The 26,102-nt window shown below is 45.3% G+C and overlaps 2 protein-coding genes across 3 annotated transcripts in view, besides 7 other annotated features; both read left to right on the forward strand.

The window, feature by feature from the left end:
* Positions 4,345–4,849: an enhancer, noted in NCBI's record as "OCT4-NANOG-H3K27ac hESC enhancer chr9:117345492-117345996 (GRCh37/hg19 assembly coordinates)". NCBI's record gives its function as "activates a minimal SCP1, AML or CMV promoter by ChIP-STARR-seq in primed H9 embryonic stem cells {active_cell/tissue: H9 hESC(primed)}" and the evidence as "EXISTENCE:reporter gene assay evidence [ECO:0000049][PMID:30033119]".
* Positions 7,361–8,180: an enhancer, noted in NCBI's record as "H3K27ac-H3K4me1 hESC enhancer chr9:117348508-117349327 (GRCh37/hg19 assembly coordinates)". NCBI's record gives its function as "activates a minimal SCP1, AML or CMV promoter by ChIP-STARR-seq in naive H9 embryonic stem cells {active_cell/tissue: H9 hESC(naive)}" and the evidence as "EXISTENCE:reporter gene assay evidence [ECO:0000049][PMID:30033119]".
* Positions 8,181–8,999: an enhancer, noted in NCBI's record as "NANOG-H3K27ac-H3K4me1 hESC enhancer chr9:117349328-117350146 (GRCh37/hg19 assembly coordinates)". NCBI's record gives its function as "activates a minimal SCP1, AML or CMV promoter by ChIP-STARR-seq in primed H9 embryonic stem cells {active_cell/tissue: H9 hESC(primed)}" and the evidence as "EXISTENCE:reporter gene assay evidence [ECO:0000049][PMID:30033119]".
* Positions 8,181–9,337: a biological region, named in NCBI's record as "NANOG-H3K27ac-H3K4me1 hESC enhancer GRCh37_chr9:117349328-117350146".
* Positions 8,638–8,717: an enhancer, noted in NCBI's record as "active region_28869". NCBI's record gives its function as "activates an Ori minimal core promoter by ATAC-STARR-seq in GM12878 lymphoblastoid cells {active_cell/tissue: GM12878}" and the evidence as "EXISTENCE:reporter gene assay evidence [ECO:0000049][PMID:35858748]".
* Positions 8,828–9,337: an enhancer, noted in NCBI's record as "active region_28870". NCBI's record gives its function as "activates an Ori minimal core promoter by ATAC-STARR-seq in GM12878 lymphoblastoid cells {active_cell/tissue: GM12878}" and the evidence as "EXISTENCE:reporter gene assay evidence [ECO:0000049][PMID:35858748]".
* Positions 8,902–20,012, forward strand: ATP6V1G1 (ATPase H+ transporting V1 subunit G1). Its single transcript, NM_004888.4, has 3 exons — positions 8,902–9,053; positions 13,685–13,785; positions 18,703–20,012. The coding sequence occupies exons 1-3, from the start codon at positions 8,972–8,974 to the stop codon at positions 18,874–18,876; spliced, it is 357 nt and encodes a 118-aa protein (NP_004879.1). The 5' UTR covers positions 8,902–8,971; the 3' UTR covers positions 18,877–20,012.
* A 5,024-nt stretch (positions 20,013–25,036) lies between these two features.
* Positions 25,037–26,102, forward strand: part of TMEM268 (transmembrane protein 268) — a 42,519-nt gene continuing 41,453 nt past the window's right edge. Inside the window, exon 1 of one of the 2 annotated variants that reach the window (XM_011518351.3) lies at positions 25,037–25,266. The gene's annotated coding sequence lies outside the window, so the exon portion shown is untranslated. The remainder of the gene's footprint in view (positions 25,267–26,102) is intronic. The other variant, XM_047422925.1, reaches the window with a different exon arrangement.
* Positions 25,888–26,088: a silencer, noted in NCBI's record as "peak7324 fragment used in MPRA reporter construct". NCBI's record gives its function as "represses an SCP1 promoter by STARR-seq MPRAs in K562 erythroleukemia cells {active_cell/tissue: K562}" and the evidence as "EXISTENCE:reporter gene assay evidence [ECO:0000049][PMID:32103011]".

Raw genomic sequence — 26,102 nt, forward strand, 5'->3', positions numbered from 1 at the left:
GTCATTTCAAAGTTCTCCTCTGCAAGGCAGGCACAAGGAAACAGAACTATAGAGAAATAAGTGATTGTTTTTTAAATTTCCTTTTCCTGTTTTTTTTTTAATTTAAAAACAATTTTTAGACTTCTACTTTTTATTTTATTTTTTTAGAGAGACAGAGTTTTGCTCTGTTGCTCAGGCTAGAGTGCAAGACTGGAGGCAAGACTGGGCTAAAATCCAGCCCATACTGTGACCATTTGGCCCAGAAGGTGCATCTTTTTAAATTTTTTTTTTTTTGAGACGGAGTCTTGCTCTGTCGCCCAGGCTGGAGGCCAGTGGCGCGATCTCGGCTCACTGCAAGCTCCGCCTACCAGGTTCACGCCATTCTCCTGCCTCAGCCTCCCGAGTAGCTGGGACTACAGGTGCCCGCCACCACGTCTGGCTAATTTTTTCTATTTTTAGTAGAGATGGGATTTCACTGTGTTAGCTAGGATGGTCTCGATCTCCTGACCTCGTGATCCATTTTAATTTTTTAATTTTAAAAAATTTTTGAGACAGAATCTTGCTCTGTCACCCAGGCTGGGGCACAGTGGCATTATTTCCGCTCACCGCAACCTCCGCCTCCCAGATTGAAGTGATTCTCGTGCCTCAGCCTCCCAAGTAGCTGGGATTGCAGGTGTGCACCACCACACCTGGCTAATTTTTGTATTTTTAGTAGAGATGTGTTTTGCCATGTTGGCCAGGCTGGTCTCAAATTCCTGAGCTCAAGCGATCCTCTTGCCTCGTCCTCCCAAAGTGCTGGGATTGCAAGTGTGAGCCACCACACCCAGCCACAATTACCTCTTGAAGCCACTTGCTACATAGTCTCTAGATCAACTGATGCCAAGTAGTCACCAAATGCCATATGCTGGATGCCATATCCCATACCCTATAGCTCAACGATGTCTAGCTGTTATAGTAGCTAGTCAGGCACACATGAGAAGACTAGACTGCAGTGGCTCGATCATATGGTAAACTATATATATACATAGCCATTCTTTTGGTCTAAGCTTCTGTACTAGGCCCCAGCAGACCAGACTAAAAATCAAAATGGAATCACTCAGGCTGAGGTTTCCATGCCACCAAACCAAAACTAATTTGTTATCTGACCTTCCCATAAATCAAGAGAGAGATAACAGCCTAACTTCCTGAACAGGCCAGTTTCAATTGGCATGATAATGAAGTTCTCTCTGCTTTAATCCTTAACAAAAAAGTAAACTGAGGTAAACTGATGTTAACCAATCACTTGGTTGGGCATGGTGGCTCATGCCTGTATCCCAGCACTTTGGGAGGCCAAGGCAGGTAGATCCCTTGTGTCCAGGAGTTTGAGACCAGCCTGGGCAATATGACAAAAGTACGTCTCTACAAAAAATACAAAAATTAGCTGGGTGTGGTGGTGCACACCTGTAGTTCCAGCTAATCAGGAAGTTAAGGTGGGAAGATGGCTTAAGCCCAGGTGGTCAAAGCTGCAGTGAGCCAAGATCACGCCACTTGTCACACCTAGTGCCAGGGAAAGGCAGTCTCCCAGTAGTTAGAAAAACCAGATACTAGTGATGAACAGCCTTCCAAGTTGGGTGAGTGGGCTCAGACATTCACACTAAGAGGCAAAATGGCAGAGTTTAACTGGTATATGACCTTCTAAGAGTATTTGACTAAGGGAAGAATGCCTCAAGTGAGCATGCATATAACTCCCGTAAACACGCTGCGCACGCAGCCCCTCTGAAATGCTGGCAGGCCACTGTACATGCGGACAGCCCACTCCAAGGGAAGAAGAATCAGGAGAGAAGTAATGCAAGACCCCAGAAAAATGCCAACATATAAAACCTCAAGTCAAAGGTCAAACTACACATTTGATCTCTCAAGTCACCCACTTGGCCCTCTTCCAAGTGGACTTTCCTTCCTTTCATTCCCACTCTAAAGCTTTTTAATAAACTTTCACTCCTGCTCTAAAACTTGCCTCAGTCTCTCACTTTGCCTTATGCCCCTGGGTCAAATTCTTTCTTCTGATGAGGCAAGAATTGAGGTTGCTGCAGAACCCTACAGATTCACTGATTCACCGCTACTAACATAGCCAGTTGCTAACCAATGTCATCTCTGTAAACCAGTGAGAATTCCTGTCAAACAACTTTGCATCAGCCCACTTCTTGCTTTTAAAACCCTGTTTAATAACAAAGGCCAAACAAAGCACTCTCCCAGTCAACTTGGAAGTGTGTCCTGGGCTGGAGTCCTCAAACTCTGCCCAAATAAATTCTCTGTATTAATTTTGCCTTAGTTTCTTTCTTTAGGTGGACAGGATGTTGAGAATTAATGGATGTTGAGAATTAATGCATAGCTAACCCTTCCTCTCCCTTGATTTATATGGAAGATAATTACTGTTAAGTAAAAATTATAGACGAGCCAGTCATGGTGGCTCACCACTGCAATCCCAGCTCTTTGGGAGGCCGAGGCGAGAGGATCGCTTGAGCCCAGGAGTTCAAGACCAGCCTGGCCAACATGGCAAAACCCGTCTCTACTAAAAATACAAAAATTAGCCAGATGTGATGGTTTACACTTGTAATCCCAGCTACTTGGGAGGCTAAGGCATGAGAATTGCTTGAATCTGTGAGGTGGAGGTTGCAGTGAGCAGAGATCACGCCACAGCACTCCAGCCTGGGTGACAGAGCAAGACTCTGTCTTAAAAATTAAAAAATAAATAAATTAATTTAAAAAATAAAATTAAAAAGATGCTCCTTCTGGGTCAAATGGTCCGGGTATGGGCTGGAATTTAGCCCAGTCTTGCCTCCTTATGCAGTAAACAGCCTATCCCACCATTTGCAGTGGCACTGCAGAGTCTCTGGAAGGAGTCCCCTTGTCTAAGGTGACCTTTCATTGACCAGATACACTAGGTCATTTCTTATCTTCTGTGGTGAAGTCCCCAAAAGCCAGTGGGAACTCGACCCCTGCTGGTGTCCAGGTTTTGTCACTGTCATGAGAAGGAATTCAAGGACTAGCAGAAAAATAGTGAAAGTACTGAGATTTATTGCAAAGTGCAGAGTACACACTCAAGAAAGGGAGGTGCAGGTGTTCTCAAGACAGAGAGCTATGCCATCGGGTTTGGGGTTTCTATCTTTATGGGTTTCCTTAGCCAAGGGGCAGAATATTCATGAAGGTTCCTGGAAAAAGGTGAAGATTTCTCAGAACTGTTGCTGCCCATTTTTTTTTTTTTTTTTTTTGAGACGGAGTCTCGCTCTGTCACCCAGGCTGGAGTGTAGTGGCGCGATCTCGTCTCACTGCAAGCTCCGCCTCCCGGGTTCACGCCATTCTCCTGCCTCAGCCTCCCGAGTAGCTGGGACTACAGGCGCCTGCCACCACGCCCGGCTAATGTTTTGTATTTTTAGTAGAGACGGGGTTTCACCATTCACAGGATGGTCTCGATCTCCTGACCTTGTGATCCCCCCACCTCGGCCTCCCAAAGTGCTGGGATTACAGGCATGAGCCACCGCGCCCAGCCTTGTTGCCGCCCATTTTTACACCAAATATGGGTGTTCCTGGGACTGTCCAGGTGCTGGTGGGTGTATGATTTGGTATGTTAATGAGCGTATAATGAGGTCCTAGGAGAAACCTAGGTCAAATTCAGCCCCAGATTGGGTCCAGTCGAACTTAGCCAGCTTGGCCTATACTCTGATTTTTCAGGGTTTTATCAACCCCTAGCTTATGCATCCATTTCAAAAGTTGCCTTTTATTAGTCATATGAATCTGCTGCCTAGAATTTTCCTTTTTTTTTTTTTTGAGACTGAGTCTTACTCTTTTGCCCAGGCTAGAGTGCACTGGCATGATCTCGGCTCACTGCAACCTCCGTCTCCCAGATTCAAGTGATTCTCTTGCCTCGCCCCACTAGTAGCTGGGATTACGGGCACATGCCACCATGCCCAGCTAATTTTTGTATTTTTAGTAGAGACGAGGTTTCGCTATGTTGGCCAGGCTGGCCTCGAACACCTGACCTCAGTTTATCCACCCTCCTCGGCCTCCCAAAGTGCTGGGATTACAGGCATGAACCACCGTCCCCAGCCTGCCTAGAATCTTCTATTCTCCTGCCACTGCCCTGTATTATTCTTGTGTCAACATGGGGTCCAGATATCTAAATTCTTGTGAGCAGTGAGTACATTGTAAGCTAGTTACATGTGTTAACTGATTTAATCCTCACAATAACATTATTATACTATTATTAGCTTCATTTTTTTTTTTTTTGAGACAGGGTCTCACTTTGTCACCCAGGCTAGAGTACAATGGCGTGATCACAGCTCACTGCAGCCCTCAACTCCTAGGCTCAAGCAATCCTTCTGCCTCAGCCTCTGGAGTACCTGGGACCACAGGCATGTGCCACCATGCCTGGCTAATTTTTTGAATTTTTTGTAGAGAAGAGGTCTCACTATGTTGCCCAGGCTGGTCTTAAACTTCTGGGCTCAAGCTATCCACCCACCTTGGCCGGCTAACTTCATTTTTAACATACGAGGAGTTGAACCCACAGAGTGGTTCCATTTGCTAAATTACAGGGCTAGGGATTTGAACTCGGGCCACCTGGCTTTCTTACCCAAGGTAGTGAGAGGCTCCACCTACCTTAGTTCTAGCTGAGCTGGGGTGTGTGAAGAACACCCTTGCTGCTTCTCCTTGTTTCCAGCCTGTGTTTGAATAACTACTTCTCAGAATGGAAACACTCCTTTCTTTGATATGCTAATACATTCCTTGGTCAGGGCAGCAAGGCCTGAGATCCACTCTGTTTCCTTCAGACGACTGTCTGAATCTACCCTACTGGCTCAAAACTTTCTCTCAGAGGGCAATGGCTTCACCTTTATTTCCTAGTTATTGTGGGACACCTCCCCAGGGTACATGAGTTCTGACAACAAACACCCACTCAGATCATCGGAAAATCCAAACCAGTCTAAAAATTTCAGAGGCGGGATTGTCTGATTTTTTTCTCTTTACACAATAAACTTTTGAAATGCTACAAGCAAAAAGAATTCTGGAATTTGTAGATATTTAGATGGTTTGAGGGACTGGACTGTTAGAGGAACCCTAATGTGAAGGCTTTTGTTAAGTGGAGCACCACATTTGTAATTCAAACAATCACCCCCTAGCCAGATAAAAATAACAGCTTCCATTTCCTGGCTCTTACTGCAGACTAGAAATTGCAAGGGCTTTACATCTGTCATCATCTCTCTCTAATAACACCTTTATAGAGGTATAATTCACATACTGTACTTTTAAAGTATGCAATTCAGTGTTGCTTTTTTTTTTTTTTTCTTTGGAGAAGGAGTTTCGCTCTTGTTGCCCAGGCTGGAGTGCAATGGTGTGATCTCGGCTCACTGCAACCTCCGCCTCCCAGGTTAAAGCCATTCTCTTGCCTCAGCCTCCCAAGTAGCTGGGATTACAGGTATGCACCACCATGCCCACCTAATTTTGTATTTTTAGTAGAGATGGGGTTTCTCCATGTTGGTCAGGCTGATCTCAAACTCCCGACCTCAGGTGATCCACCCGACTCAGACTCCCAAGGTGCTGGGATTACAGGTGTGAGCCACCGTGCCCGGCCGGGTTTGTTTTTGTTTTTGTTTACTGTATATTCACAAGGGTATGAAACTGTCACCACTAATTCCAGAATGTTTCCATCACCCGAAAAAGAAAACCCATGCCAATTAGCAGTCACTCCCCCATTCCTCTCCCCTCAGCCCCTGGTTAACCACTAATCTATTTTCTGTGTCTATTTGCCTATTCTGGATTGTTCCTATAAACGGAACTGTATAATATGTAGTCTTTTGTGCCTGGCTTTTTTCATTTAGCATATTACCAAGTTTCATCCACGTTGTAGCTTTATTTCCTTTTTATAACCAAATACTATTCTATTGTATGAATATGCTACATTTTATCTACTCATCAGTAGATGGACATTTGGGTTGTTTCCAGTTTTGGGGTACCATCATCTCTTTTAATCTTCATGCCACCTCTAGAAGTGTGTATTGCTGTCTTCCATTGATTGACTGAGTGAACTGTGGTTTCTTTCTTTTGTTCTCCTTTTGTTTATACAGATGGGGCCTCCCTGCATTGCCCATGCTGGAGTGCAGTGGCCATTTACAGGGGCAATCATAGTGCACTACAGCCTCTAATTCCTGGCATCAAGGGATCCTTCTGCTTCAGCCTCCCGAGTAGCTGGGTCTACAGGCATGTGCCACCATGCCCAGCTAATTTTTGTATTGCTAGTAGAGATGGGGTTTCACCATGTTGGCCAGGCTGGTCTGGAACTCCTTACCTTGTGATCCACCCGCCTCAGCCTCCCAAAGTGCTAGGATTACAGGTGTGAGCCACCACGCCCAGCCTTTATTTCTTTATTAAAATGTACTTTAACTGGCTGGTCGGGGTGGCTCACACCTGTAATCCCAGCACTTTGGAAGGCCGAAGCTGGTGGATCACGAGGTCAGGAGTTTAAGACCAGCTTGGCCAAGATGGGGAAACCCCATCTCTACTAAAACTACAAAAAAAATTAGCCAGGCACAGTGGTAGGCACCTGTAATCCCAGGTACTCGAGAGGCTGAGGCAGGAGAATCGCTTGAACCCGGGAGGCGGAGGTTGCAGTGAGCCGAAATCGCGCCACTGCACTCCAGCCTGGGCTACAGAATATCTAAAGAAAAAAAAAAAAAGAAAAAAGAAAAAGAAATAAGGTACATTTGCAGAAGTATAATCACTAACTCTGTCAGATGTTATCTTATGTGTAAAAGAGGCAAGGATTAGTGTAATTTATCCTTTAAGGAATATAGTAACTCAGGCAGGAGACATGTGGGCCCATGTGCTCTATTCTGTTTTATCTTCAAAACTCTTTCCAGTCCTGTTTCTCACATCAGAAAAGGATAGAAATTCTGTTCTTTCCAACCCCACCACGTCAATCAAATGAAAATGTCCTGAGCCATGAATCCAGCTCCTGGAGTGAAGAATCTTTGTATCAAGAAAAATTCTGGCATTATTTTATGTTCTCAGCACTCAGTGGACTCTAAGAGGTCACCTGGTCCTTTCCTCAGCCCAGAGGATTCCGGCAGAAAAGCAGTAGCTCAGAGGTTTTACTCTGCAGCCCTGACTGGATTCAAATACCCTGTCTGTGTGTTAATAGGGGCATGACTTTTGGCTCAGAGACTTTGCGACTCTCTGAGCTTCAGTTTGGTCAATATAAAATGGAATTAGTAACAGTATCAAAGTTAATGTGAGGAGTGAGTGAAGCGATGACAAGGGCCCGTCATACTGTAAACTCAAACCATGGCTTCCTATTTCCCTATTCACGGTGGATGGGGAGATGTCTCCGTGCCAAGTTGACCCCCTCCCCAACTCCGCACACGCTGGTCCTTTTCCCCTAATCATCTCCCACCGCCTCCATCCCCCACTATCCTTTCCTGGGTAACTTCTTATTCTTCAGATCTTATTTTATTTTTTGAGAATTTTTATTATTTATTTACTTATTTATTTTTGAGATGGAGTCTGCTCTGTCACCCAGGCTGGAGTGTAGTGACACGATCTCGGCTCACTGCAACCTCAGCTCCCAGGTTCAGGCGATTCTCCTACCTCAGCCTCCTGAGTAGCTGGGATTACAGGCGCGCGCCACCATGCCCGGATTTTTGTATTTTTAGTAGAGACCAGGTTTCACCACATTGGTCAGGCTGGTCTCAAATTCCTGATCTCGTGATCCGCCGGCCTCAGCCTCCCAAAGTGCTGGGATTATAGGCGTGAGCCACCGCGATTGGCCTATTTTAATTTTTTAATTTTAATTTTTTTGAGACAGTCTTGCTCTGTCGCCCTGGCTGCAGTGCAGCGTCACGATCTCGGCTCACTGCAGCCTCCGCCTCCCGGGTTCAAGCGATTCTCGTGCCTCAGCCTACTGAGTAGCTGCGATTACAGGCGCGCGCCACCACGCCCGGCTAATTTTTGTATTTTTAGTAAAGACGGGGTTTCACCACGTCGGCCAGGCTGGTCTCGAACTCCTCACCTGAAGTGATCCACCCGCCTCGGCCTCTCAAAGTGCTGGGATTACAGGCTCGTGAGCCACTGCGCCTGGCCTTCAGATCTTAAACACCACTTCCTTGGTACAGCATTCAGAGACACCTCCATATTCCTCTCCCCTTACTAAAGGTTCCTTCTTACGGCACCCTGCATTTTTCCTTCATGACTTTATCACAGTTTGTAATTGTCTATTTATTTTAATTAATCTGTCTGTGTCCATAAACTGTGAGCTCCGCCGGGACCTTGTTTGCCCTGCTCTCTGCTATGTCCTCAATATCAACAGTGGACTAGGATCACAGCAGGCTTTCATCAAATATTTATGGGAAACAGTCCAGTCCATTCCTGAACTCGGGTTCAGAAAAGGATAGCGACCTGTCCAAAATCACACAGGTTAGCGGCAGACTTGATCCCGAGTCTCCTAACTGGCAACCCAAGACTCTATCCCCGGAACTGGCAAGAATCTTCCTGAACTACCCCGATAAAATTTTGAGTGCCAAAGAAAGTCCCAGAAAGGGAGTGAGTAGAGCAGTGTGGAGAGTAGGAGGAAAGTGATTTGACTTGGCCCCTCCTCTCTTGACGTTGAGCATACTGCAAACAGACACTATACGTGGCAGGGCGGCTACAGAGTGAACCAGCGACAGGGTAGCCATTAAAAGAGGCCAGGGAGCGGACAGAGGAGTAGAGGGCAGTACTGCGCAGTAGACTGCACAGGCGCAGTCGAGGAGCTCCGCTCCTTTCTCCTCAGCCCCGCCCCGCCCCATTTCTGCCGAATCACAGAAGTTCAAGAGCGGTCAGCTGATGCTACGCTGTGCGGTCACGTGACAACGGGGGCGAAGCGCAGGCGCAAGGAGCAAGCGCAGATTGTGGGCGGCTGTGTCAGCTGACCCAAGGGGCCTTCGAGGTGCCTTAGGCCGCTTGCCTTGCTCTCAGAATCGCTGCCGCCATGGCTAGTCAGTCTCAGGGGATTCAGCAGCTGCTGCAGGCCGAGAAGCGGGCAGCCGAGAAGGTGTCCGAGGCCCGCAAAAGTGAGTTTCAGGGTGGGGCTGCCCGGCGTGGCGCGAGTCGAAGAAAGACCGCTGGGCCTCAGGTGGTGGGTAGATTAGGCCCGAAAAACTGCGGGGTGCGGGCGTGCGTATAGTCGCGGAAGGTTGTGTGTTTCGAAGCTTTGAGGAGCTGAGGCTCTGGAAGGCTTGCGGATCGCCTGGAAGCCACGATGTGAGATGGTAAATTGGGCGTGGAAACAATAATGGGTTACCGTCCTTGGGGCCTGGAGGCATGTGAAATGGGCTCTCCAAACGGAGCTCTTTGTTCTTCTTCTCTCCCACTTAACCGCTCTGGGGTGGTCAGTCTCGGTGAAGGGAGCCAGCATCCACACAGTTGCTTGGTCTAGAAACCTGGAGTCCTGCTTGCCTCTTCTCCCTCCCTCATTTAGTCAGTCGCCAAGGCTTGCGTATCTTTCACTTTTTCCCCCATGTCTACTACCAGCGTCTTAGTCCAGGACACCAGTTTCTCTAAAGGTACTGTAGTTGTCTAAATCGTTGGCGTGTGTGCGTGTGTGTGTTTCTGATATGTGGCAAGCGCAGTGTGTGTGTGTTTCTAACATGTGGCAAGCGCAGTGTGTGTGTGTGTGTGTGTGTGTGTGTGTTTCTGTCTAATATGTGGCAAGCGCAGTGCCCAGTGCATCAGTTGTCTCCCCTAACGTGGCATTCAGTGTCGCAGTGAAGGAAGCAGGTATTGGGTCAGTTAATTAATTGCAGGAGAGATGAGGGCTGGAGTGGAGAAATGTAAGGTTGCTAAAGAATTTAACAGGTGAGTTTAATCTAGACTGGGGAGTGGAAGAACCCGTTCTGGTCCCCTCCAGTCAATCCATTCTCCTCTCTGCAATCAGTCATCCTTCTAAAATGCAAATATGTGACTTCCTGCTGGTAAGGAACAAAATAAATAAATAAGTGCAGATATGATTTCCCTACCGCCTTTGTAGTCAGACGTTTAGTTCCTGCAGAAGAAAGCTCAAATTCCTTAATGAAGTTGGGGAGGCTCTTGTGGGTCAGGCCTGGTGCTTTCCTCCAGCTATACTGAATCGTTGTGGTCCCTCAGAAGCAGCATGATGTCTTTCACCTGCAGGTTTTTGCACACGCTGTTTCTTCTGACGTGAGAAGCCTTTTCCAATTCTCCTCCCCTTTGTTCTCTGACCCTTAGTCTTCCATCAGACCTCAATTTAGGAAACACTTCTTCCCGGGAAGCCTTTCCTGACTCATGCTTGTCCCCCGGACTAGGCTTGGAGTCCCTCCCAAGTGCTGATTTCTGCCACTGCCGTGCAATAACCTGTTTGTTTATATGGCTCAGTCACTAGACTAAGCTTCTGGAGAACAGAAACTATGTCTCATTTAACTTTATGTATCCAGTTTCCCGTCTGGTGAGAAAGATGCTTCTATCCCTATTTTACAGATAGTAAAAATGAGGCTCAGAGAGAAATGATTTATCCATACCCTGGGAAGCAACATAGTTGGGACTCAGAAGCCTCTTTTTCCATGCAAGGCGAAGATACTGATCTTAGTAATTCCTTGGTGTTTCTCCTAGTATAGGAGTTATTCTATCTGACATCCAACTAGATTTCAAGCATGTCTCCTCTACTTGTGCAGTTAGGGGTTGTGTGGTACTTGGAAAGCTTTCTTTGAGGGTGTTGGGAATGAGAAGAAGCCTTTTGTTCTTGCTCCGGTGACTGGAAAGTTCTTTGTTCTTCCCAGAATATTTCCAGTCATGCCCTTGATAGTGTATTTCCAGAATGACTTCTCACAGTTTGTGTTCTGATGGCTCATCAGTAACAGAAGTTGTATCTGTCGGGAGGGATAGGAGAATAGATTGGGGAAGTGCAGGAAAAAATGCTTGGAATAGGTAAGAATAATTCTGAGTGCCCTAGCCAGGTAGGATTTATGTTTTATACCTTTATCCTGTCAAGCCTGGTGCAGGGTTTTGTATATGTCAGGTAGCTGTGAATTGGTTTTAAAAAGTATTAATTTGGCTGGGCGTGGTGGCTCACGCCTGTAATCCCAGCACTTTGGGAGGCTGAGGTGGGTGGATCACCTGAGATCAAGAGTTTGAGACCAGCCTGGGCAATATGGAGAAACTCCGTGTCTACTAAAAATACAAAAGTTAGCTGGGCGTGGTGGTGTGCGCGTGTAGTCCCAGCTACTTGGGAGGCTGAGACAGGAGAAACGCTTGAACCCAGGAGGCAGAGGTTGCAGTGAGCGGAGATCTGTCCCACAGCACTCCAGCCTTGGGGACAGAGGGAGACGCCGTCTCAAAAAAAAAAAAAAACAAAAAACAAACCAAAGTATTAGTTTATGGCTTACATACTTCTCAGATTTTTTTTTTTTTTTTTGAGACAGAGTCTCACTCTGTCACTCAGGCTAGAGTGCAGTGGCACCATCTTGGCTCACTGCATCCTCCACCTCCAGAGTTCGAGATTTTGTGCCTCAGGCTCCCAAGTAGCTGGGATTACAGGTGCCTACCACCATGCCCATCTCTACTAAAAATACAAAAACATATAAATTAATACATAAATAAAAAAATAAATTTTTGTATTTTTAGTAGAGACAGTGTTTTACTATGTCGGCCGGGTTCTTCTCAAACTCTCGGCCTCCCAAAGTGCTGGGATTACAGATATGAGCGACTGCGCCTTGCCTGTCTCAGAATTGTTAATAGTTAGGAACAGAGAGGTAGTCAGAAGAACTGCAGTTTGAAAATTTGCCTTTCTTGATTTATAATTATGGTTGATTTGCCCAGTTAAGAGTTGGGAAGAGGCAGTATATAAAATGATCCCATCCAGTTTTTTTAATGAAATCATTGAGTTGGACCTTAAATTTTTTTTATTATTTTTTATTTTATTTTATATATTTTGTTTATTTATTTTTTTGAGATGGATTCTCGCTCTGTCGCCCCCAGGCAGGAGGGCAGTGGCGTGATCTCGGCTCACTACAATCTCTGCCTCCCAGGTTCAAGCGATTCTTCTGCCTCAGCCGCCCGAGTAGCTGGGACTACAGGTGCCTGCCACCATGCCCGGCTAGTTTTTGTGTTTTTAGTAGAGACAGGGTTTCACCATAGTGGCCAGGTTGGTCTCGAACTCCTGACCTTGTGATCTGCTCACCTTGGCCTCTCAAAGTGCTGGGATTACAGGCGTGAGCCAGCGCGCCCGGCGTGGACCTTAAAATTTTAAAAAAGTTTGTGTTAATGGCATATTTCATTGGAGTGAAACAAAACACTGGCTCCCATATGTAAGGCCCAAGAAGAACAAGATTTAAGAGAAATACGATTTTCTGTTTAAATATTTTTGATTTTTAGAGGCCCCTGTCAAAATTGAATGTTGAAGATGTTTGCCAAAGGCAGTAAATGGTATTATCCTGAGTTATAAATGCAGGGAGCCATGGGAGTTGGGAGGTGATGTCTTGTGAAATCATGCGGAGCTACTGCATAATGTTCAGGCCATGAGTGTTATTTATAGATTGTTGGTTTCGAAAGTATCTTTAGCTTTGAAATACAGCCCATTATAGCTGATGGGAAGATAGCATGTGAAGGATTGGGGTACAGGTGGCCGAAGCAGACAGTAGTAGGCCAGAAATAATACTGGAGTGAATGTGGACTTGCAGAAATAGTTCTTGGAGTTTTGAGAGAGAGACCTGTTAATTGTTTCAGACTAGCATCAGGGAATGTTGATGTCATGGGGTCATTTCATTACAGGTCCAAAGTTCTGTTCTGAATCAGGATGTGGAAGGTTAAGTTCATTTTCACTCATTCGCGTGGACTCTAGACAGTTGGTATACAATGATGTACAGTGTTGTATAACAAAGCTTAATTTTAGATGCAGGATGTCTTTTGCTCTCAAATAAATAGGTTGATGGTCTAGAACCTCTCTTTTTTTTTTTTTATTGGTGAGCGGAGACTCAAAGCAGAGATTATATGTTGGCTGTCCTTGTGGTCTGTTTTCATGTAGACTCTGACCAAACCTAGAGATTTTTTCCAGCTGTATGTTAAGCCACTCACTTCTAGAAACCAAAATACCTGTGTCTCCTCTTCTCTCAGCCACTTGTGCAGTCTTACTGTCCAGTACTCCTCATTCAGCATTCCTTCTCAGTCACCACTGTCCTTACTTCCTTGTGACAGGGACTGCTTTTAGTTTCCAGTGTTACATTATATAGTTGGTTCATTAGTTACATTATATGTTGCTGTCCCTTGCGAGCTTATTAGCCTTCTTGCTAAGCATCTGAGTAGGGTTGCACCTTTAATCAGCAGCATACTTAAGGTGTTTACTTCTGGAGAAGAGTTCCCTAGATGGTTAATGTTACTCATTTTATGTTGGTTCTTAATAGTTGAGATTGAGAGAATATTCTGACACATTCTACAATTTTTTTCCATCTTTTTAATGGGCTGTAGTTACAGAAGGTATTCATTTTTGTCTTGTCACTTCCTAGTTAAGTACAGCCTATAGGAGGGAGGAACCTGTACTGTTTGTTAGCTCTGAATTCCCTCTTTCCCATGCACATCTCTTCGGACTGTGTCATAATTTATTCTTGGCTTATTGTTATAATATACCATCTTGTCTCTGCTTGCTTTTCTACTTTTAACCACTTCCTGATATAGCTCTCTCCTTTGAAAACAGGAAAGAACCGGAGGCTGAAGCAGGCCAAAGAAGAAGCTCAGGCTGAAATTGAACAGTACCGCCTGCAGAGGGAGAAAGAATTCAAGGCCAAGGAAGCTGCGGTGGGGCACCATTTGTTTTTGTTACTGCTTTAGTTTCTGATCCCCTGTCCCGCCAAGGCTTTCAGAATATCCAGCATAGCTCAGAGATCCTGGTCGAAGTTTGAAAATGTGGTAGCTGTGTGTTTTATTGGCTGCTCAGGCATCTGTCTTTTAGGATGATCAGTTTTTCCATTCATATTGATTTCTAATTTTCATTTATTCACTCATTTAACACGTATCTGTTAAGCAGTTAACATGCGCCAGGTACTGTGCTAGATGCTAGGGATCAGTTGTGACCAGGAATAGACATGGTCCCTTCCCTCATGGAGTGTAGCTTACCATCCAGTGGTCAGGGAGACTCAGTAATACAGTGCAAATCATGCAGAGCTACTACTGAAAAATGCTGTGACGGTCATAAACATAAATCAAATGGAGCCCCACTTTAGTATATTGTATATAGTACAGACATTTACCAGTGATGTAGGCTATACTATGGTGCATACAATAATAGTACAAAAACAGATCACAGAAAGCATAGAGGAGGCAGGGACAATTGTGGAAAGGGGAAAGGATGGATAAGGGCCTCACAGAGAAAAGAAACTATCAGGACTCTTGGGTGCAGGTAACAAAATATAATTAAAACTGATTCTAAATGGGATGTATTGGCCTATATAATTAAAAACCCAAGAGCTTAAATAATATGCTCAGGACTTTCTCTCACCTCTGTGTTTGGCTTTGTATCATTCTCAAGTTCTACACTGTGGCCTCTAGTAGTTCCAGCATACACACTTCCAGGCCCAAGTCCAGTGAGTAAAGGCACATACCTCCCTCCTTGCATTAAGTAGCAAAAATTTTGATCAATTTTTTATTTTTTCTTTTTAAGAGACAGAGTCACACTCTATCATTCAGGCTTTAGTGCAGTGGTGTGATCATAGCTCACGGTGACCTGGAGCTTCTAGGCTTAAGCGATCCTCCCCTGCCCAGCCTTCTGAGTAGCTAGGACTGTAGGCATGATCCATCATGCTCAGCTAATTTTTTTTTTGTTTTTGTAGAGATAGGGTCTTGCTGTGTTGCCTTGGCTGGTCTCGAACTCCTGGCCTCAAGTGATCCTCACATCTCAACCTCCCAAAGTGCTGGATCATCTTTGTTCTTGGCAATTACAGTGCCATTAAAACGTGGCTGGGCATAGTGACTCACACCTGTAATCCCAATACTTTGGGAGGCTGAGGTGGGAGGATTGCTTGAAGCCACAAGTTCAAAACCAGCCTGGGCAATAAACCAAGACCCTGTCTCTACAAAAAAATAAGACAAATACAAATAAAACTTAACATGTTTCTTTGATTCTTGAACTGGGGCTGATAGGTGCTGTAAGTTGTCAGGCTGCTCATAAAACAATGTAGAAATACCCTTGTGTCAGGGCAGCCATCATCTTCATTTTTTTTTTTTTTTTTCTGAGACGGGGAGTTTTGCTCTTGTTGCCCAGGCTGGAGTGCAATGGCATGATCTCGGCTCACTGCAACCTCTGCCTCCCAGGTTCTAGCGATTCTTCCACCTCAACCTCCCGAGTAGCTGAAATTGCAGGCATGCGCCACCACATCCGGCTAAATTTGTATTTTTAGTAGAGATGGGGTTTCTCCTTGTTGGTCAGGCTTGTCTTGAACTCCCGACCGCAGGTGATCTGCCTGCCCCGGCCTCCCAGAGTGCTAGGATGACAGGTGTGAGCCACCGCGCCCAGCGCCCCCCGCCCCTTTTTTTTTTTTTTTCCTGTCCGAGATGTAGTCTTGCTCTGTCACCCAGGCTGGAGCGCAGTGGCGTCATCTCAGTTCACTACGACCTCCACCTCCCAGGTTCAAATGATTCTCCTGCCTCAGCCTCCCAAGTAGCTGAGACTGCAGGTGTGCGCCACCATGCCCGGCTAATTTTTGTATTTTTAGAAGAGACGGGGGTTTCACTGTGTTGGCCAGGCTGGTCTTGAACTCCTGACCTTGTGATCTGCCTACCTTGGCCTCCCAAAATGCTGGGATTACAGGCGTGAGCCACCACGCCTGGCCCATCTTCATATTTTTACATTCTTTTTTCTTTTTCGTGGCACAGGCCTAGGAGGTCCCAATGACATGTGCCCTCATATTCTTACATTCTGTGCTGTAGTTGATTATAGAGATGGTACTGGTATTGCACTGTAAAGCACAAGCTCTGATTCCTTTTTTCTTTCTTTTCTTTTCTTTTTTTCTTTTTTTTTTTTTTTTTGAGACAGTTTCACTCTTGTTGCCCAGGCTGGAGTGCAATGGCGCGATCTTGGCTCACTGCATCCCCCACCTCCCAGGTTCAAGTGATTCTCCTGCCTCAGCCTCCCAAGTAGCTGGGATTACAGGTGCCCACCACCACGCCTGGCAGTTTTTTTTTTTTTTGTCTTTTTAGTAGAGACAGGGTTTCACCATGTTGGCCAGGCTGGTCTTGAACTCCTGACCTCAGGTGATCCACCTGCCTCAGCCTCCCAAAGTGCAGGGATTAGAGGTGTGAGCTACCATGCTCAGCCAAGCTCTGAATCTTTCTAGCAGTGTTCCATTGTAACCTCTTTAGTTTTTGAGACAACTTAGCGGAGCTTGGCGTATGGTTTATATTCAAGAAACAGGTAATGGGGTTCTGAACATAAAAGAATGAGTTAGCAACTGAGCTGTTAATGAAATGCCCCAGGAGATTCCTGTAATATGAACAGTTATAGTATAGTATGAAGAGCCCTAAGGGCACAGTGGCTCATGCCTGTAATGCTAGCATTTTGGGAGGCCAAGGTGGGTGGATCGTTTGAGCCCAGGAGTTCAAGACCTGCCTGGGCAACATGGTGAAACTCTGACTCTACAAAAAAAATACAGAAATTAGCCGGGCATGGTGGTGTATACGTGTAGTTCCAGCTACTTGGGAGGCTCAGGTTGGAGGATGGCTTGAGCCCAGGAGGTGGAGATTGCAGTGAGCCGAGATCGTACCACTGCACTCCAGCCTAGGCAACAGAGTGAGACTCCATCTCTTAAGAGAAAATGGAGTGATAAAGTCAGGCACAGTGGTGCACACCTGTGGTCCCAGCTCTGCAGGAGGATCTCTTGAGCTTGGAGTCTGAGGCCATCCTGGGCAACATAGTGAGATCCCATCTCTTCGGGAAAAAAAAATGGAGTGATAGCCTCCTTATAGGTCGTTGTGAGGAATAGGTAATGGAGAGACTCCTTTGCAAATTAATATATTATGCAAATATGAAGGGATGTTATTAGCATATATATATATGTATATATAGTGAGGCAAGAACAGGTTAGGTGAATAAAAAGGGTCAGACAAAAAAGTTACGTCTTCCAGAACGTTATAGGTTAAGTTCTAATAAAGAAGGCACAGCAGTTAACAAAAAGCTGGCTGTATTGTGAAGATCATAGAAAGTAAAAGAAAATTCATGTCAGTGTGTGTGAAATTGCTAAGAGAAACTGAAGAGGTAAAATGTTTACGCTAAAAATTCAGGTAATAAAAAGGGGCAGGCTGAGGCAGATGGATCATGAGGTCAGGAGATCGAGACCATCCTGGCTAATATGGTGAAACCCTGTCTCTACTAAAAACACAGAAAAAAAAATTAGCCGGGCGTGGTGGCTGGCGCCTGTAGTCCCAGCTACTCAGGAGGCTGAGGCAGGAGAATGGCGTGAACCCGGGAGGCGGAGCTTGCAGTGAACGGAGATCGCGCCACTGCACTCCAGCCTGGACGACAGAGCGAGACTCCAACTCAAAAAAAAAAAAAAAAAAGTGTGGGGGCAGCAATGAGAAATTAGTTTTCCTCTCTCTCAGACCTGCAGTCCTCCTCAGAGCCAGTCACTGTTAACAGGTTTCTTTTTTTATTCTTCTAGAATATTTATATTTGCAAGAATAGATGTGACACACTGGTGAATCCACTGTTGAACTTAAGAACTAAAACACTAACCAATAATGGTGAAACTCCTTGTATATTCCTCCTAAATTGTATCTTCCTTGTGTTTGTTATTCTTGTTTGGAGATGGGGTCTTCTTGCAGTTTTGCTCAGGTAGGGCTCCAAGTCATGATCCTCCTGCTTCAGTCTCTCGAATAGCTGAGACTACAGGCATGCACCACCACGACTGGCTTGTGTTTATTATTATTTAGGAGTTTTTAAAAACCTTGTATCTCCCCACATTTAAAACCACAGGTACAAAAACATACTAACCACATTGATACTGTTGTATATCTTGCTTTTCCCCCTCCTTAAGCTGTATTTTACAGTTCACTGCAATTCCTGAATAGTTCTCTTGCACAGAAGCAAGTTGAGTTTTTAGGTTGATTCCTATCTTTGGTTAAGGCTATATAGCAGATTCTTTTTTTTTTTTTTTTTTTTTTGAGACGGAGTCTCGCTCTGTCGCCCAGGCTGGAGTGCAGTGGCGCGATCTTGGCTCACTGCAAGCTCCGCCTCCCGGGTTCACGCCATTCTCCTGCCTCAGCCTCCCGAGTAGCTGGGACTACAGGCGCCCGCTACCACGCCCGGCTAATTTTTTGTATTTTTAGTAGAGACGGGGTTTCACCGTGTTAGCCAGGATGGTCTCGATCTCCTGACCTCGTGATCCGCCCGCCTCGGCCTCCCAAAGTGCTGGGATTACAGGCGTGAGCCACCGCGCCCGGCCTATATAGCAGATTCTTAGAGGAGAGATGCGAATACATGTCTTTGGAATAATTTCCTAGCAGTGGGAATACTGTGTAGTTTACTTTTGGTAGATGTGGCTCCTGTTAACTCTGAGAATACCTCACATGTGCTCCAGCCATGAGGTCATATTGCCAGCTTCTGAGTATACTGATAGGTGAGCCTGGGTTTCTCCAAAAGTCAACAAGTAGCTTACGAAATGTACCTGACCAACCAGAGCATTGTTCTGATAATCCCTCCGTGACATCACTCCCCATCTCCAGGCATTGGGATCCCGTGGCAGTTGCAGCACTGAAGTGGAGAAGGAGACCCAGGAGAAGATGACCATCCTCCAGACATACTTCCGGCAGAACAGGGATGAAGTCTTGGACAACCTCTTGGCTTTTGTCTGTGACATTCGGCCAGAAATCCATGAAAACTACCGCATAAATGGATAGAAGAGAGAAGCACCTGTGCTGTGGAGTGGCATTTTAGATGCCCTCACGAATATGAAGCTTAGCACAGCTCTAGTTACATTCTTATGATATGGCATTAAATTATTTCCATATATTATATAATAGGTCCTTCCACTTTTTGGAGAGTAGCAAATCTAGCTTTTTTGTACAGACTTAGAAATTATCTAAAGATTTCATCTTTTTACCTCATATTTCTTAGGAATTTAATGGTTATATGTTGTCTTTTTTTCCTATGTCTTTTGGCTCAAGCAACATGTATATCAGTGTTGACTTTTTCTTTCTTAGATCTAGTTTAAAAAAAAAAAAAACCACATAACAATTCTTTGAAGAAAGGAAGGGATTAAATAATTTTTTTCCCTAACACTTTCTTGAAGGTCAGGGGCTTTATCTATGAAAAAGTAGTAAATAGTTCTTTGTAACCTGTGTGAAGCAGCAGCCAGCCTTAAAGTAGTCCATTCTTGCTAATGGTTAGAACAGTGAATACTAGTGGAATTGTTTGGGCTGCTTTTAGTTTCTCTTAATCAAAATTACTAGATGATAGAATTCAAGAACTTGTTACATGTATTACTTGGTGTATCGATAATCATTTAAAAGTAAAGACTCTGTCATGCATTTTTCCCCATTCTTTTTTTTTTCCCTGTCTCCGTGACAACCAGTGGTTCTTCATTTTTGATCATGCGAAATGCATTTTGACCCAGATGGTCTGCAGAACTTCACTTAGGACATTAGCACACAAATAGCACACATATCACATACCCATTTATATACATAATTAGAAAATGTTCCTGATACATGTGTCATGTGATTTCTTCCAACAAATGTTTTGGAAAACAGCAAGCAACTAGTCTGTAGGTTGTCTTTTCTCTAGAGATCCTTGTCCTGGGACAGCCTGGGGCAAGTTATTAAGCATATTTCCTTCCTGGTGGGCTAGATGATGTGCATTATACCTGTAGTACCTTCATACTAGCCCTTACAAGTTAAATGTCCTGTGGCCATCTTAGCCGAAAGTCTTTGGTTGCAAAATCTTATAGGTAAAAACAGTTGAAAGAACATTATGGGATTTCCTTGCTTGTTCTGATACAATACAACTAGATGACCTTAAAAACCCTCATATTTAATATGACTCAGGATTTTATTTTTCAGACCACTACTGTCTCTAGTTACTGTTTCATTTCTCTGTTCCTTTTTAATAGAATTCCTCAAAAGAGTGACTGGATGAGCTTTTCCTGTTTTTTTTTTTTTTTTTTTTTTTTTTAAACTGTTAAAACCCTCAAGGCTTGCTGTGCCACTGAAGCTGTATGTCAAGATCAGCAATGTGGTCCAGGTTGAGAAAGCTCATCCTCTTCCTCCTTGACCTTCAGTACTCTGACAGGGTTGACCATTCCTTCCTTGAAGCACTTTTTTTGAGACAGGGTCTCATTCTGTGGCCCAGGTTGGAGTGCAGTGGCCTGGTGTGATCTCAGCTCACTGCAACCTCCGTGTCCCGTGTTCAGTCGGCCCACCTCAGTCTCTCAAGTACCTAGGACTACAGGCACACACCACCGCACCTGGCTACTTTTTCTGTTTTTAGTAGAGACAGGGTTTCTCCATGTTCCCTGGGCTGGTCTCAAACTTCTGGGCTCAAGCGATCCTCCTGCCTTGGCTTCCCAAAGTGCTGGGATTACAGGTGTGAGCCACTGCACCCAGCCCACTTTACTTAGCTTCCATCGTGCAGTATTGTGCTTCCTTGCTTCTCATTCTCTCCCTCATTCTTCCTTCAACTTTTTTTTTTTTTTTTTTTTTGAGATGGAGTTTTGTTCTGTTGCCCAGGCTGGAGTGTGGTGGCATGATCTCGGCTCACTGCAGCCTCTGCCTCCCGGGGTTCAGGTGATTATACTGCCTCAGCCTCCCTAGTAGCTGGGACTACAGGTGTGCGCCACCATGGCCAGCTAATTTTTGTGTTTTTAGTAGAGACAGGGTTTCACCATGTTGGCCAGGATGGTCTCAATCTCTTGACCTCATGATCTGCCCACCTCGGCCTCCCAAAGTGCTGGGATTACAGGTGTGAGCCACTGCACCCGGCCTCCTTCAGCTTAATTTATTAGTCTTTTCACGCTGCTGATAAAGATATACCCGAGACAGGGAAGAAAAAGGTTTAATTGGACTTAAAGTTCCACATGGCTAGGGAGGCCTGAGAATCATGGCGGGAGGCAAAAGACACTTCTTATATGGTGACGGCAAGAGAAAATGAGGAAACCCCTCATAAACCCATAAGAGCTCATGAGACTTAGAGAATAGCATAGAAAGACACCCCTATGATTCAATTACCTCCCCCTGGGTCCCTCCCACAACACGTGGGAATTCTGGGAGATACAATTCAAGTTGAGATTTGGGTAGGGATGCAGCCAAACCATATCATTCTGCCTCTGGCCCCTCCAAATCTCATGTCCTCACATTTCAAAACCAATCATACCTTCCCAATAGTCCACCAAAGACTTACTTCAGTATTAACCCAAAAGTCCACAGTACAAAGTCTCATCTGAGACAAGGCAAGTCCCTTTGCCTATGAGCCTATAAAATCAAAAGCAAGCTAGTTACTTCCTAGATACAACGGGGGTACAGATATTGGGTAAACACAGCTGTTCCAAATGGGAGAAATTGGCCAAAACAAAGCAGTTACAGGGCCCATGCAAGTCTGAAATCCAGCAGGGCAGTCAAATTGTAAAGCTCCGAAGTGATCTTTGACTTCAGGTCTCACATCCAGGTCACGCTGATGCAAGAGGTGGGTTCTGCCCCTGTGGCTTTGCAGGGTACAGCCTGCAGTGGTCTTGGGCAGCTCTGTCCCTGTGGCTTTGCAGGGTACAGCCTCCTTCCTGGCTGCTTTCATGGGCTGGTGTTGAGTGTCTGTGGCTTTTCCAGGTGCATGGTGCAAGCTATCAGTGGATCCCATTCTGGGGTCTGGAGGACGGTGGCTGTCTCCTCACAGCTCCACTAGGCAGTGCCCCAGTAGGGACTCTGTGTGGGGCTCTGACCCCCCATTTCCCTTCCATACTGCCCTAGCAGAGGTTCTTCATGAGGGCCCCGCCCCTTCAGCAAACTTTTGCCTGGGTATCTAGGTGTTTCCATACATCTTCTGAAATCTAGGCGGAGGTTCCCAGACCTCAATTCTTGACTTCTGTGCACCTGCGGGCTCAACACCACGTGGAAGCTGCCAAAGCTTGGGGCTTCCACCCTTTGAAGCCACAGACTAAGCTGTACATTGGCCCCTTTCAGCCAGCCATGGCCAGAGGGGCTGGGACATGGTGCCAAGTCCCTAGGCTGCACACAGCACAGGGACCCTGGGCCTGGCTCACGCAACCACTTTTTCTTCCTGAGCCTCCAGGCCTGTGATGGGAAGGGCTCTCTAATAAAAATACAAAAATTAGCCAGGCGTGGTGGTGGGTGCCCGTAGTTTCAGCTACTCAGGAGGCTGAGATGGGAGAATCACTTGAACCTGGGAGGCAGAGGTTGCAGTGAGCTGAGATCACACCACGACACCCCAGCCTGGGCAACAGAGTAATGCTCTGCCTCAAAAAAGAAAAGCTGTTAGCAGTTGTAGCAGAAACATGGTTTTACCCGTGGAATATCCATGGGCTCTGACGTAGATATTCCATGTCCAGACCATGAAGGTCTCTGACATGGCCTGGAGACATTTTCCCTATGGTCTTGAGGATTAACATTAGCCTCCTTGCTACTTACGCAAATTTCCGCAGCCAGCTTGAATTTCTCCCCAGAAAATGCATTTTAATTTTCTATCACATAGGCTGCAAATTTTCCAAACTTTTATGCTCTGCTTCCCTTATAAAACTGAATGCCTTTAACAGCACCCAAGTCACCTCTTGAATGTTTTGCTGCTTAGAAATTTCTACCAGATACCCTAAATCATTTCTCTCAAGTTCAAAGTTCCATAAGTCACTAGGGCAGGGGTAAAATGCTGCCAGTCTCTTTGCTAAAACATAGCAAGAGTCACCTTTGCTCCAGTTCCCAACAAGTTCCTCATCTCCATCTGAGACCACCTCAGCCTGGACCTTATTGTTCATATTGGTATCAGCATTTTGGGCAAAGCCATTCAACAAGTCTCTGGGAAATTCCAAACTTCCCCACATTTTCCTGTCTTCCTCTGAGCCCTCCAAACTGTTCCAACCTCTACCTGTTACCCAGTTCCAAAGTTGCTTCCACATTTTTGGTTATCTTTTTAGCAGCACCCCACTCCTGGTACCAATATACTGTATCAGTCCGTTTTCATGCGGCTGATAAAGACATACCTGATACTGGGAAGAAAAAGAGGTTTAATTGGACTTAACAGTTCCACATGGCTGAGGAGGTCTCAGAATCATGGCAGGAGGTGAAAGGCACTTCTTACATGGTGGAGGCAAGAGAAAATGAGGAAGAAGCAAAAGCAGCCTGATAAATCTATCAGATCTCGTGAGACTTATTCACTATCATGAGAACAGCACAGGAAAGACTGACCCCCATGATTCAATTACCTCCCCCTTGGTCCCTCCCACAACACGTGGGAATTCTGGGAGATGCAATTGAAGTTGAGGCTTGGGTGGGGACACAGCCAAACCATATCACCAAGGTTTTGTTCTTGGACTTCTCTAACATTCTATTGGTGAGACCACATTCATTTCCAGGCTTTATTACCTATACTGAAGACCCAAATTTCTATCTCAAACCCATTTCTCTTGAGCTGTAGTCATTAAATTGCTTATTTGATATTTTGACTTGGATGTCTGGTAAACATCTCCATCTTAACATGTCAGTTTGGAGGGCTTAACAAACTGTATCCAGTTTTGTTAAGGCTTTACTCTCCTTATTGCTAAGTGTAGCAACTCCTAATCTCTGCCAACTGCAAATACAGATTTCCCAAACTGGAGAAACATGAAGCAACACTCATGTTCAAGTGCTTAGACTCAATGTTTAAATGGGTTGCCAACAGTATTTTTATTCTGGATTAATGGAGTTGTGCTTATTTACTTAACTGCTTGACTATTAATACTGAGCCAAGCAACCCAACGTTGCCAGTCACAGAAACCAACAGCAGAGAGGTTTTATTTTTTTGAGACGCTCTTTCGCCCAGGCTGGAGTGCAGTGGCATAACGATCAGGGCTCACTGCAGCTTCAACCTCTTGGGCTCAAGCCATCTGCCTGCCTCAGACTCCAGAGTGCAGAGATTACAGGTATGAACCACCATGCCTGGCCGGGAGGGTTTCCTTTTGTACACTTAATACATTATAGGGCTTTGTAGCAGTGTCCCTGGCCTCTACCCACTAGATGCCAGCAGAACCCCTTCAGTTGTGAAACAAAAAATATCTCCAGATATTGTCAAATGTCCCCTGGGTGCCAAAAACCACCCCCAGATTAGAGAAGATAAGGCACTATACAAGATGTCTGGAACATTCTAGGTACTCAGCAAATGTTTCCTAATTTTCTAAAATTTGCTGTCCTTTTCTCAGACTAATCATTCTTGATTACAAGTTTAATAATAGCTGCATCGGTCAGGACAGGACAGGTTCTGAAATCTCTGTGGCTTAATGTAACAAAGGTTTATTTCTTACAAAATCTGATACAAGTTGGGTGACTTCAGGGTGACTGTTCTCCATGTGGCCGCTCAGTGATTTGGATTACTTCCAGTTTGTGTCTCTACCATCTCACCACATGGTTTCCATGAAATTTCAGTGATGGGAAGAAAAAGTTGGCAAGCATGCATCAGCTCTCACCTGCTTCAGTCCTCAAATGACACTTGTTCTCAGCATATTGGTGTAGGTCACGTGTCCCGACCCAACACAAGGGAGGCTAAGAAATAAGGGGAAGCCCATGGATATTCCATGGGTAAAACCATGTTTCTGCTACAACTGCTAACAGCTTTTTTTTTTTTTTTTTGAGACAGAGCCTTACTCTATTGCCCAGGCTGGGGTGTAGTGGCATGATTTCGGCTCACTGCAACCTCCCGCTCCCAGGTTCAAGTGATTCTCCCACCTCAGCCTCCTGAGTAGCTGGGACTACAGGCGCCCACCACCACGCCTGGCTAATTTTTGTATTTTTAGTAGAGATGCGGTTTCACCATGTTGGCCAGGCTGGTCTCGAACTGCTGACCTCAAGTGATCTGCCTGCCTTGGCCTCCCAAAGTGCTGGGATTATGGATGTGAGCCACCATGCCCTGCCTGCTAACAGCTTTCTATGTGCCAGCTAGTTGTAAGAACTTTTACATTTATATTGACTAATTTAATTCTTTTTTTTTTTTTATGGGATATGAGACTGAGAGAGGTTAAGGAACCAGCCCAAGGATGTGCAGTGATGGAGCCAAGATTCAAACTTGCAATCCGGCTTTTGCATCTGTGTTTAACCACGGTGTGTACTGAGTATTGAACAACTTCATAGCTATATACCTTTTATGTATCTTACCCATCTGATTCTTTTCCCTTTACCTCTCCCAAATTGTAGAGTGATGCTCTTCAGTTGCCCTCTGGGCAATTTTATGTCATGTAAACCTACAGAGGATGCCCTGATAAAAGGCATAAAATATGGCTCACACCTGTAATCCCAGCACTTTGGGAGGCCGAGGCTGGTGGATCATTTGAGGCCAGGAGTTCGAGACGAGCCTGGCCAACATAGCGAAACCCTGTCTCTACTGAAAATACAAAAAATTTACTGGGGCGTGGTGGTGTGCACCTGTAGTCCCAGCTACTCAGGATGCTGAGGCATGAGAATCGCTTGAGCCTGGGAGTTGGAGGTTGCAGTGAGCTGAGATCGAGATCGCACCACTGCACTCCAGCCTGAGTGACAGAGCAAGACTCCGTCTCAAAAAAAAAAAAAAAAAAAAGACATAAAATAGTTTACAGCAAGCCATTGTGTAACCTTGTGGTAACATCTCACAAATTCCCTGAAGAATTACCCCTTCCACTTTCTGAATGGGGGAGAGGAGAGGGAAACTTGTAGAAAAAAAAAAGTAACTTGTCAGAGGCCACATGTCCAATCTCTGCTTCTATCAAGGGAAGGCCATTATGTTCTATGCACATATATAAACACACAGCAGCCCTGCAGGTTAGACACTGTAATCCCACTTCCATGGATGAGAAAGCTGAGGCCCAGAGGCTTACAGAATGTTCAATGTCACAGAGCAAGGAAGTGACAGAATTGAAGTCCCATCAGATCAGCCTGCAGGCTGCAAGAGAAAACCTACCATG

This window comes from Homo sapiens, chromosome 9 (genome assembly GCF_000001405.40).
Source record: "Homo sapiens chromosome 9, GRCh38.p14 Primary Assembly".
NCBI classification, from domain to species: Eukaryota; Metazoa; Chordata; class Mammalia; order Primates; family Hominidae; genus Homo; species Homo sapiens.